Source organism: Homo sapiens, chromosome 13 (genome assembly GCF_000001405.40).
Source record: "Homo sapiens chromosome 13, GRCh38.p14 Primary Assembly".
NCBI lineage: Eukaryota > Metazoa > Chordata > Mammalia > Primates > Hominidae > Homo > Homo sapiens.
This window is the reverse complement of record NC_000013.11, coordinates 24,768,080-24,781,642: the sequence shown is the minus strand read 5'-3', so window position 1 is coordinate 24,781,642 and position 13,563 is coordinate 24,768,080. Positions and strand designations below refer to the sequence as shown.

General features: G+C 37.1%; 1 protein-coding gene across 15 annotated transcripts in view; it reads right to left on the bottom strand.

The window, feature by feature from the left end:
* RNF17 (ring finger protein 17) overlaps positions 1–13,563 on the bottom strand; it is a 140,815-nt gene that overhangs the window by 106,939 nt on the left and 20,313 nt on the right. For 13 of the 15 annotated variants that reach the window (XM_011535156.3, XM_011535152.3, XM_011535158.3 and 10 more), the window contains 3 exons: positions 6,739–6,830; positions 3,237–3,348; positions 1,896–1,976 (listed from right to left, as the gene is read on the bottom strand). In XM_011535156.3, coding sequence (XP_011533458.1) covers positions 1,896–1,976; positions 3,237–3,348; positions 6,739–6,830 — 285 coding nt within the window. Of the gene's footprint in view, positions 1–1,811; positions 1,977–3,236; positions 3,349–6,738; positions 6,831–13,563 lie in introns of those variants that run through there. The other 2 variants (XM_047430488.1, XM_011535162.2) reach the window with 2 other exon arrangements.

Here is a 13,563-nt window from a genome sequence, read left to right as displayed (position 1 = left end):
TTTTACTGAGACCAGGTCTCACTTGGTTACCCAGGCTGGAGTGCAGTAGGCTGAGCATAGCTCACTGTAACCTTGAACTCCTGGGCTCAAGGGATCCTCCTGCCTTGGCCTCCTGAGTAGCAATGACCACAGGCACGTAGCCCCATGTCCAACTAATTTTTTTTTTGGTGGTGGGGAGGAACAAAGTCTCATTATGTTGCCCCGGCTGGTCTCAAACTCCTAGCCTCAAGTGATCCTCCTGCCTTGGCCTCCCAAAGCACTGGGATTACAGGTGTGAGCCACCACACCTGGCCTTACTGGCATTTTCTACTGATAATGTGGCAACAAGACCTAAAAAAAATCCACTGATGAGTGTACTAAATTTTTTTCTTTTCATCATTACAGGAAACAAGTCATTTTAAGTAGCTGAATTTCTCTTTGATAGGACCCCGTGGATTAAAAAAAAAACCGTAGAAACCATACTTGAATTAAAATGTTAAGTATTACACAATCTTAGTATTTTTGAAGTTTTAAGTATTGTTGCTTAGATCCATGACCCCTTCTTTCCTTCTGATTCTTCCAATTTAGAATGGGAATGTGGAATGTCTATCTTATTCCTGTTTCACCAATGTATTTTAGAAGCAACTAAGTTCTTGTCTCGTTTCACAGGCTCATAGTGGAAATGAATTTTGCCCTAGGATGAATCGTATATCGAGTCTTCACCCATACCTAACTTAGAAGGTGAGATTTTAATTTTTATTAATTTTTAATTTTTTTTTTTGGAAACGGAGTTTTACTCCATCAACCAGGCTGAAGTACAGTGGCACGATCTTGGCTCACTGCAACCTCCGTCTCCCGGGTTCAAGCGATTCTCATGCCTCAGCCTCCCCAGCAACTGGAACTACAGGTGGGTGCCACCATGCCCGGCTAACTTTTGAATTTTTAATAGAGATGGGGTTTAGCCATGTTGACAAGGCTGGTTTTGAACTCCTGACCTCAAGTGATCCACCTGCCCTGGCCTCCCAAAGTGCTGGGATCACAGGCATGACCAAGTGAGCCTGCCCAGAAGGTGAGATTTTTATATTTACAATTGATGCTGGAATGGGTTAAACTTTTGGGGGTGTCAGGATGGGGTGAATGTATCTTGCATGGAGAAGGACATGAATACTGAGGGCTAGAGAACACTCTGTTTTTAGTTGGATTGTGTCCCCACTATCCCAAATTCAGATACTGAAGTCCTAACCTCCAGTTAATTTACCACTGATTTGCTCTTCTCCACTATATCTGGTACTAAGTATTGCTTATCACAGGTGACATTATTTTTTCCCCTTTTCTCTCAATGTTGTTTTTTTCTCTCATAACTCTTCTATTACTTTTATCGTATTTCTCATTCCTCTTGAGAAATGACTTTTGATAGTGACCCTTAGCCAATCAAAAATGTCATGTCCTTCTATGCAAAAAAGCAGCCACAACATAATCAGCTATAACCTTTTGAACTCCTTAATTGTAAATTTTGTTGCTAGGTGCTGAAGAACTTGTTTTGTGTCACCAAATGAGAGAGTCTCTTTTGGAAGGTGGAGTAGGAAGAGAGAAAGAGACTCACTAAGGGGGATACAGCCAAACAATCAGCAAATGTTGAAAAGATAATCTGCAATGCTTCTGAGACAAAATTCAGCTCATAGCAAGGAGAAGTCATGGTTCCTTATTAAAGCTGGAATTTTATTAAGTTCCTAGCACAACAATGTTACAAGACCAATCTTGGCAGGCTATGGGAAAAGTTTTCCATTCTTTTTTAGATTATCATGCTTAATAACTCAGTGCTAAGCTCTAACCTCAGTGGTAACATCTCCAAATGTACACACTTAAAGAGGACATGCTTCACTTCATGATAGAATTTAATCCTGCAAAGTGCTTACTTTTCCAGCAATGCTTAACTGTTCGAAACTATGGTGTGCTGTATTCAATGCTTCATCAATTTCTTCTGCAGTATTAGTGTCCTAAGAAGGGAGGGAAATCACATACAAATATAAAACTAAAAAACAGATGCCTAGACATATATATATTATAGTTGCAAAAAATTCAGGCTACCGTTTTGGTTACAAAAGCAACATAGACTCACTACAGAAAAGTGAAAACAAGCAACAAAAATAACATTCAATCCTGCTAACCTGGAGATAAAAACCATTCATATTTTAGAGCTTTAGTTAGACCATTCCAGATTTTTTTCATAAAGATATTTTTTTAAATGGGATAATGCCCTGTAATTACCTTTTCAACTTAAAACTACCTTGAACAATTTATCATGGCAATACATGTATACATATAAAAATTATAAACAGTTCTTAAGGAAAAAAAGATTATAATTTGACTCCATTAAGATTTACACTTGAAGGAAAAGTCAGCAAGATTAAGTGCTTTCTCCCCTTCCCCAGCCCATTAATGATTTTTTTTTCTTTTTATTTTTTTTTTGAGACAGAGTCTCACTGTTGCACAGGCTGGAGTGCAGTGATGCTATCTCTGCTCACTGCAACTTCTGCCTCCCAGGTTTAAGAGATTCTCATGCCTCAGCCTTGCGAGTAACTGGAATTACAGGTGTGCACGACCACAGCACCACACCCAGCTAATTTTTGTACTTTTAGTAGAGATGGGGTTTCGCCATGTTGGCCAGGCTGGTCTTGAATTCCTGGCCTCAAGTGATCTACCCATCTTGGTCTCCCAAAGTGCTGGGATTATAGGCAGGAGCCACTGCACGTGGCCTCCATTAATGATCTTAACACAAAAACTTAATATCATTTTGGAGTTTGTTCTATTTCTAATCTTAATACATTATTTAAAGTTATCAGGAGTAGATAAAAGGTAAAACTCTATCTTCAGCAATAACATTAACAACAACAAACATAATTAGGCCTTTTGGTTGCCATTAAAATAAGTGAAAAATCACATTTAAAATTTAAAAACTCATGCTTTACATGTTTCACAGAACCTGGATTCAATAACTAGTTTCAAAGGGAAGAAGCTACACACAGGTAAATATCAAGAACTTTGAAACAGAGTCAGTCAAAGGTAGAACAGGCTGCCTTGGAAGAAAAGAGAACTGTCTAAGCATAGAACAAAAGAGATTCAAGTAAGAGGGTGGGTTAACTTGTTACGTATAAACTTCCAAAAGAATCTATAATTATAGGAGAAGAAAGTTGAGCTACTAGAGACAAAGTCAAACGTTTGCCTTCATCGTACTTCATGACCAATATGTTTCATACCAACATTACAGCTGATGAGTTCAAAAGAGTCTTGTCTGTGGAGGCTGAACGTTCTAAACCAGTAGTTAGCTGATCAGCAGTCTTCTTAAAGTCCTGAGAACAATTCTTTATCCTGAAAAGTATCAAGTATATTATTTTATTTTTTGTGACAGGATCTTTCTCTGTCACCCAGGCCAGAGTGCAGTGGCACCATCATGGCTCATGGCAGCCTCGACTTCCCAGGCTCCAGCGATCATCCCACCTCAGTCTCCCAAGTAGCTGGGACCATAGGCATGTGCCACCACACTCGGCTAATTTTTGTATTTTTTGTAGAGATGAGATTTCAAAATGCTGTCCAGGCTGGTCTCAAAATCCTAAGCTCAAGTGATCTACCCACCTCGGCCCCCCAAAGTGCTGGGATTATAGGTGTGAGCCACTGTGCCTGGCCCACGTACATTATTTTAAATACCAATATTACCTCATCAATCAATGTAATGGTTTTAATCTTCTATTCAGATTTTACCATAAAAAATAATTCATATAATGACTTATAAGAACATGTACAGTGAATTACCAATTAACCATAAGTGGGAAGAGAGAAACCATGAGGAAATATGCTTTCATACAAATTTTAATTTTAAAAAATTCCAAAAATAATGGCTTATATATTGTGTTTTAATTTCTTAATTACTGGTCCTTACGTGGTATTTTTTGGTACAGATGTTGATAATCAATGAAATGTGATAAGCTCACCAATTAAGTAAGTGTTTATATATACAAATGCCAGCTATTAAAAAGAAGGTACTTAACAAGTCTGGAGAATTAAAAAAAGGTAATGAATTTAACTAAGCAAGTTAATTGCAAAGAAAAAGTTAGTTGCATTCTCTAGTCTATAGAAGCCAGAGTTTTATTTATTATCTGTTTTAGAGATGGGGTCTCACTGTGTTGCCCAGGCTGGTCTCGAACTCCTGGACTCAAGTGATCCTCCCACCTCAGCCACCCAAAGTGCTGGAATTAAAGGCATGAGCCATCATGCCCAGCTATTTTTATCTTTGTATCACCATATTGGCTAGCACACAGTAACTAGTGTTTGCTGAGTTAATCATCAGCTTACAGCTTATGGGGAAAATATGATGTTTAAATGTTACAGAGAAAAAATACTACACCAAATAATTTTTAAACATTCTATTCTTTGAAAAGTGAATATTCATGTTCTTAAAAACATGAGTGCATTAGCCCTGAGGATTCCATTACTGAATTCCTGTTTCAAAATATTAAAGACAAATCAGTAAATGAGTCAAGGATTACTATAATTTAAAAATATACAACCATTTTAAAACCAAACTGTACCTTAGAGAATAGCAGTTTCTAAAATAGATATAATTGACATAAATTTAATTTTTAAAATGGTTATTTGGAACAAATTTGGGTACTTTCTGGTTAGGATGGATTCATATACCTCTGAAAGTAAAATTTCACTTTGCAACTCTAACAGACATTATACATATATAGATAAGAGTACATCCTGGTTTGACTGGCATCATGTGTCAGAAAATTTCACACACAAGTACAGATCTCGAGTTTGTCTTGAGAAAAAAAAGATGTGGCAACATTGGGTTTGTCTTAATACATACTAATAACTGGCTACAGCTGAGTAGGAACTGCCTCCTTCAGAGGGGGTGAGCCCTCGTCATCTACCGCAAACCTCACCACTCATTGTTTAAACTCAGTCGACCTCACCCAGTAAGTTAACTGCTTAATTCGTGTAGGTGTTCAAATTTGGGAGCCCTAAATTTGATAAAAATGGCTACTCCATGGGGACTCACGATGAGCCAGAATGATTCTAAAAGATCTATCCTAATAACTCTACACATATCTCATGGAGGAAGTGACCAGTGGTATAGGAGTTGGGAGCAGTACTGGTATTCAATAAACCTAGGTTTACATTCTGGTTCTGTGAATAACCAGCTGTCAGACTTTAGCTAAGTGGTTTTACTACCCAAGCAAATGGCTAAAACCATTCTTTTGTTTTTTTATAAGTACTCATTTAGGTCTGCAAAGAGAAGCTACGGTGGTAATGTGAAGTGCCAGGAATTCTACACTGAATAATTTTGAGTTTTAATTGAATACTTAATGAACAACTATAGCATTAAGGAAGAGTCTGACAAGGAGCTACACAAAATAACATGAGAATTAAATAAGGCAGTAGAAATGAAGATAGGTTATGGACATAGGAGATACTATAGAAGTCAGAATCTGCAGGAGGTAAAATGAATGTAATAGAAGGAACTAGAGTGATTTATAAATACTTGGTGCCATTAACAAAATTGGAAAGTTCCACATGAGATTTTTCCTTGAAAGAATCCTATTTTTTATTTCTTGCATAGTCTACTTACCATATTAAATATGCTTAGAAAGTTTAGTTATATACAAATTACCATCTGAGTACAGTTCCAGGAAATTGATCAGAAGATCCTTTAACACTTAAAAAGCTGCAAAAATCAAACATGTACTGTAATAAACATTACATGTTTACTCTGTGTCCCAAACCAGAGATATAAAGGGGAATAAAATGTGGTCCATTCCCTTAAAGGGGCTTACAGACTAGCAGGAAAAGACATACAGAAGCATTAGTAATTAAGTGAAATAGTCAGTAACATAGATACTCATCTCTGGCTGGGTGTATTTAAAAAGATATTACTAATTCAAAAAGAGAATCTATTAATGCATACATGTATAAAGTCTTATACAACAATGGAAAAATGAATAAAAGAACCCCAAAGGTATTATTTTTCCTTTTATAAATCACTTCTCAAACCAACTCTTCACAAAGTCTTCCATTGTACTATACTTGCACTACTTTTAAGAATCAAGAGAAGCTGGGTGCAGTGGCTCACGGCTGTAATTCCAGCACTTTGAGAGGCTGAGGCAGAAGGATCACTTAAAGCCAGGAGTTTGAGACCAGCTTGGGCAACACAATGAGACTCCATGCCTACAAAAAAATTTAAAAATTAGCTGTGCATGGTGGTGCATGCCTGTAGTCCTAGATACTCCAAAGGCTGAGGTGAGAGGCTAGCTTGAGACCAGGAGTCTGAGGCGGCAGTGAGCCATGATCAAAACCACTGCACTCAAGCCTGGGTGACAGAGTGAGACCCTGTCTTTAAAAAAACTTAGAATTTTAAAAATTTTTAAAAAGAATCAAGAGAGAACTAAGTTACTTTTTTTCTCTATAACTTCCTTCCATCCAGCACGAGTAACTTTAGCCAGTGTACTCTCAGCCTTTCTTGATGTGGTAATCCTTAACATTTTTTCTTTCTTTAAATAAGGACAAACAAACGCTGCTTCTTTAAAGAGCTGAAGTCTCCATTCCACTGACAGCTAAGATGAAGTATGAACTTAAAGAGCATTCCATAAACAGTAGGTTAGAAATGCAGACTTAAGGATGACATTTTATCAATAATTCTAAAACTATTTCAGTAACACATTGACTTTAAATACTCAAATAAGTACACATGGAACATACGTCTTAGGCTGCAGTTTTTCCATTATGGAGTCTTCCTTAATATATCCAGCCATTGGGTAGTAGCGTTGTCTAGTATTTACAGCTGTAGCAACCTTAGGACAAAATAAGGTTTAAAAAAACAAAGTCACCCAATAAATTATGCCTATCCAGAACCTAAACAACTATTTAAGTGTGCTATTCATAAAGTTAATGATAACCTTAAAGATCCTGAAATCCCCTGTAAATCAAGGAGAAAACCGTGCTTATATGAGTTTTTGACCCACTTTAATTTTTGGAAGCAATCACGAATTTGGCAACTATTAATTAATTTTTAGTTAATTAACCAAAACACTTCATTCTACCATAACTGTAAAGGAAATACTAGCAATACTTTCAATTTTACTTTAAAAATGTTAGGCCAGGAATGAGGGCTCACGCCCGTAATCCTAGCACTTTGGGAGGCCAAGGCGAGTGGATCACCTGAGGTCAGGAGTTCAACACCAGCCTGGCCAACATGGCAAAACCCCATCTCTACTAAAAATACAAAAATTAGCCAGGCATGGTGGCAGGCGCCTGTAATCCCAGCTACTAGGGAGGCTGAGGCAGGAGAATTGCTTGAACCTGGCGAGGCAGAGCGTGGAGGTTGCAGTGAGCCAAGATTGCATCACTGCACTCCAGCCTGGGTGAAAGAGCCAGACTCTATTTCAAAAAAAGTGAAAAAAAAAATAGTAACATATGTTCAAAACTCTAAAATATTTAATTTAAAACTTTTTAAAATCATGTGGTTCAATAGAATTCCTAAAGTCCACTGTGGCCCACAGACACTAGATGAAGAAAAATCCCTGCTCGAGACAGTGTTCAAGTAAAATGCAGTTAGAAATAGAAGAAAGTTGGATAGTTGATGGTTGACTTTTTTCTGAGAACAGTTTTCTTATGTTCATTTATTTGAGGCCCTGCGGTCTCTGATTTTTTTCCACATATTTTAAAAGCCACTCAGATCATGAACTGATACCTGAAAGAAAAATGAAGAAGGCAGAAGGAAATGCAACATCATTCTCTGGGTGCCTAGGTCCTACAAACTTGGCAAACTATCTCATTGAAACCTCACAATACAATACAAAAAAGAAAGAAAAGGAAACTGAAGTAAAGCTGAAGTATGTCCTCTAACTTCACTCAGTCAATTAAAGGATAAGCCAGGATGTGAAACTGAAATTATCTTTTTCTTTAAAATTTTAGATTCAAGGGGTACGTGTACAGGTTTGTGGCAAGGGTGTAGGGCATGATGCTGAGGTCTGGGCTTCTGTTGATCCCATGACCCAAACAGTGAGCACAGAACCCAACAGAAAGTTCTTCTGCCCTTGCCTCCCCTCCTCTCTCTAGCAGTCCCCAGTGTCTACTGTTTCCACGTTTATGTCCACGTGTGGCCAATGTTTAGCTCCCACTTGAAGTGAAAATGTGGTACTTGGTTTTCTGTTTCTGCATTAATTTGCTTAGGATAATGGCCTTCAGCTGCATCCATGTTGCTGCAAACAACATTATTTCATTCTTTTTAATGGCTGCATAGTATTCTGTGGTGTATACGTACAACATTTTCTTTATTCAACCCACCAATGATGGGACGCATAGGTTGATTCCATGTATTTGCTATTGTGAATGATACTGTGATAACCATATGAGTACAGGTATCTTTTTGGCAGAATAATTTATTTTCCTTTGGGTATATACCCAGTAATGGAAGTGCTGAGTCAAATGGTTGTTCTATTATTAGTTCTTTCAGAAATCGCCAAACTGCTTTCCACAGGGCCTAATTTGCATTTCCACCAACAGTCTATAAGCATTCTCTTTTCTCCACAACCTTGACAACATCTGTTAGTTTTTGACTTTTTAATAATAGACATTCTGATGTGAGATGGTATCTCATTGTGGGTTTTGATTTGCATTTCTCTGGTAAGTGATGTGAGCATTTTTTCATGTTTATTGGCTGGTTGTATGTCTTTTAAGAAGTGTCTGTTCACGACCAGGGGCGGTGGCTCACGCCTGTAATCCCAGCACTTTTGGGAGGCTGAGGCGGGCGGATCATGAGGTCAGGAGATCAAGACCATCCTGCCTAACATGGTGAAACCCCGTCTCTACTAAAAATACAAAAAATTAGCTGGGCGTGGTGGTGGACGCCTGTAGTCCCAGCTGCTCGAGAGGCTGAGGCAGGAGAATGGCGTGAACCTGGGAGGAGGAGCTTGCAGTGAGCTGAGATGGCGCCACTGCACTCTAGCCTGGGTGACAGAGCGAAACTCTTGTCTCAAAAGAAAAAAAAAAAAAGAAGTGTCTGTTCATGTCCTTTGCCCACTTTTTAATGGAGTTATCTGTTTCTTTTCCTGCTGATTGAAGTTATTTAGGAAAATTTAACAAGAAAACTATAAGCTGTAAGTAAAGAAAACTTTTTAAAAAATCGCACCTGGCTAGAGGTCATAAAACAAGAACAAAAAAAAAAAAAAAAAAAAATGGAGACTCAAACCAGGTTCCTGGAGAGAAAGACTGAATGTCCTAACATCATCTAATATGAAATTAATACAATTCTAAAATACGTATGGAAAAATATATTGTATAAGAACTGCAAAAACTTTAACATCGAATTCAGCATAAATTTATTCCACCAATTAATAAGACTATTATAACACTACTGTAATAATTAAAACACTATGTGCTAGCATAATAAATCAGTAGAACAAAGCCTTGAAACAGACCCAACTCTCTATGAGAACTTAATATAGAATACAAGTGGGATTTCAATTAAATGGAAGGATTACTCAATAAAAGGTATGACAAAATCAGCCAATCATTCTTAAGAATAAAGGTATACCTGCACCTTACATCACATAACACATAAAATAATTAAACATATACCGCCCCCACTTTTTTGTCTTCAGATGGAGTTTCGCTCTTGTTGCCCAGGCTGGAGTGCAATAGTGCGATCTCGGCTCACTGCAACCTCCGCCTCCTGGGTTCAAGTGATTCTTCTGCCTCAGCCTCCCGAGTATCTGGGATTACAGGCATGCGCCACCATGCCTGGCTAATTTGGTATTTTTAGTAGAGATTGGGTTTCTCCATGTTGGTCAGACTGGTCTCGACTCCCGACCTCATGTGATCCACCCACCTCAGCCTCCCAAAGTGCTGGGATTACAGGCGTGAGCTCAGCCAACATATACTTCTTTAAAAAAACGTAAGTATTGAAGATATATATATATAACTTTGAGTTAGGAAGGTCTGCCTAGTCAGAAAAAAAAAAAAAAGCCCTACCTAGAATTCATGAAGCAGGGGTAAAAATGACTAGTTAAGAAACACTTCTGAATGGCTAAATGCAATAAAATCAAAAGTGAGAGGCTGGGAGAAAACAGTTACACAGGATGAAATGTTAATATTGCTATCACATAAAGTACTCTTACAACTTAGGAAAAAAGACAGGCTGGATACAGTGGCTAACACCTGTAATCTCAGCACTTTGGAAGGCTAAGGCGTGACCAGCCTGGGCAACATAGCAAGGACCTAGCCTAGCCACATAGCAAGGATTCACCTCTTCCAAAAAAAAAAAAAAAAAAAAAAAAAAAGATTATCTGTGTGCAGTGGTACTCCCCTTTAGTCCCAGCTACTACTGGACTGGATGAGGTAGGAGGATTGCTTCAGCTGGAGAGGCTGAGGTTGCAGTGAGCTGTGATCACATCACTGCACTCCAGTCTGGGGGAACAGAGCAAGACCCTGTCTCCAGAAAAAGCAAACAACAACAAACAACAAGTTAGGAAAAAGACAATTCAAAAGGAAAAGATCCAAAGGATCTGAAAAGAGCTGTTAAAGATCCACACAGAAGAGGCACTGATAAGTCAAACATATGAAAAGTTGCTCAACTTCACTGATCATGAGGGAATTACAATTTACAACAAGGAAACAGCCATTTTTTACATCAAATTGCCAAAACACTAAAACAAATATAACAAGCTCAAAATATGAATTTCTTTTGGAGTTAGAAATTACAGAACCTACTGATGGAGGTGAGGTTGAGGAATTGTACACAATTATAGTGAAAAAAATTTTAAAACTAAATGTTTATCAATAAAGAAATTAGTTAAGAAAATTATAGTGCTTATTTTCATGAGAATAGATGAAGGTTGCTAAAAGAAACAAAGCAGATTACTAATTGTTATAGTCTCCCATTTTTGTGAAATATACATCTTTGGTGGGGAAGAGAATGTTCTTTCAAGGTTTCAAGTATTATGTACTTAAAACCATGTACTTGTAGCCATGTATTATTAGTTTAGTTAGGTTACTTTTAACAAATCTCACTGAGCTGAATGGTATTTTAAGTCCCTTTTCCCCAAAATTGGGGTTTAAAAACTTTATTTCTATATACCTCCTAGTTCATCACACTTTGGCTTAGCATTTCATAAGAGGTTAATGCTATTATCAGCAGATTTGATGCAGGACATTTCTTCCAGATAGTTTAAGAAAGTATTAAATACAACTAATTTAAAAGATTTTAAGTAAAAACTGCAGAAAGACTCTTAACTTGTAACATATATAATAAAGGTTTTCTTTTACCCCCTATAGCTTGTCATTTAAATTTTATTTATGATGGTGTTTTGCCTGCTTTTGTTGCTTGTAAATGAAAAACTGTGGTCAAATTTAACAAGCATTTATTCTGTAGTTTCTGATTTCTATTTGATATGCTTATCAATGCTTTCCTATCCAAGATTATACAATTATCTGTATTTCTGTCTAGTTTACATTTCTAATTTTTATATATTAATATTTCCAATCATGGGATTTTAGTATATATGAATTATCTATTGATTGGATGATTTATCCTTTCTTCATGGCCCAATGTATTTTAGACTCAGGTCCAAAAGTTAATAAAATGCCAGTATTTCTAATATAGCACCTAGGTATAATCCTATCGTTGAATAAAATCTGTCATTTTGCTGTGCAAAATTACAGAAAGATTAACCATTAACATCAATCAATAGCAGAGCAGGGATGTTATCAAAAACCATTCAACTATCAAAAATAAAGACTGTCAAATAAATGCACATTCACCCAAACTCAGAAATAAGAACAAAAGGATACCTATTAATCTTGAATGGATTTTAGGCTTACATTTGAAGTAAACAGCATTACCTAGGCCTCTGAAGTTAAAGATAAATTATAAGTCTAACGTGAATACAGGAATCTAAATCTTACTTTTTAGAGTAGATACCTTGTTGAAATGTAATAAACTACATTCCTCAAATATTCCATAAATTCAGACTTCACTAAATTTAAACTAGATTCTTCCATTCTCTGTATATCTTATTCCAAATAAATATTAGGTAATAATACAAATCTAAAGTTTAAAAAGAGTGATAACAATTTCAGGAAGGTTTCTTGAATGACTTCCTTTAATAGGGCCCAGCTCACCAGTGCGTCTGAAGAATGTGAATATAGTCACTTGTCAATTACCTCGGCTAACAGTAGGTGGGTGTGGGGATGGGGGAATAGGAACGGAGGATGGGACAGGTCACTTATCTCTAAAAGTTAGAGCAAAACTAGTCAATGATACAAAATAGATTTATCACAACCTTAAAATCAAAATTAGTATTTGTAAACACATTATAAACACTCCTACACATTATCCAAAATCCCAAAAATAGTACAAGTATAATGATTTAAGAACATTAAATGTGAAATCATTTGCCAAGTCTTTTTTTTTTTTAATATTAGAACAGGACGGATATGGACACAGACAGTTCCAGCTGCCTGCTCCTTTCCTTTCCCTTCACTTAATCTTCACCCACAAGACTGAATCCATCAGGGATCTACTACCACAACCACATGAGGAGGGCTCACTTCGTCTTACCCACATAGCCAGCCACGTCTAAGGAGCTCCATGTCAAAAAAAAAAAAAAAAAAGGGAAGAGGTTAGGAATTTCCCACAAAATAGGCAGCTACTAATATGTAATTTTTTGTTATAATTTAAACTTTCATTAATTACAATATATGGTTTGGGTTTTTTTTAACCATATTTAACTTGCAAGGCAGTTCATTCAAACCTAAATAATGAAGGGTTATTTTAGTAGTCTGGAAGCTTACGGAGAACTGTTACATAATTCAGATTTGATTCTTAGCAATCCTAGGAGATAAGACAAAGCAGGTATTATATCCATCTCACAAATGAGGAAACCCAGGCTAGACTGACAGAATGAGAACTGCATTCTAGATCTCATGCCTCCATAGGGTTTGCCACACTTCCACAGAAAACAAATGATACAAAGCCTTATCATCTGATTTATCCAGTAAAACATCAAGAATTTACAGCTTGGCCAGGCGCGGTGGCTCATGCCTGTAATCCCAGCACTTTGGGAGGCCGAGGTGGGCGGATCACGAGGTGAGGAGATCGAGACCATCCTGGCTAATATGGTGAAACCCCCTCTCTATTAAAAATACAAAAAATTAGTCGGGCGTGGTGGCACAGACCTACAGTCCCAGCTACTTGGGAGGCTGAGGCAGGAAAATCACTTGGACCTGGGAGGCGGAGGTTGCAGTGAGCTGAGATTGAGTCACTGCACTCCAGCCTGGGGGACACAGTGAGACTCCGTCTCAAAAAAAAAAAAAAAGGAATTTACAGCTTGAGTCAACTTTCCAGGAACAATATTATATAAGCTGAACTACACTTATATTTGTATTAAATGAATAGGATATCAAGTAAATTTTATTTTACATCCTTAATTTGTTCTCATTCTTATGGAAAGATTTCAGTCTTAATGGCTTCTGAAGTAAAAATTTTAGGCAGTAGTTTTGCTTCTCTACCTTGTTGTAGAATGG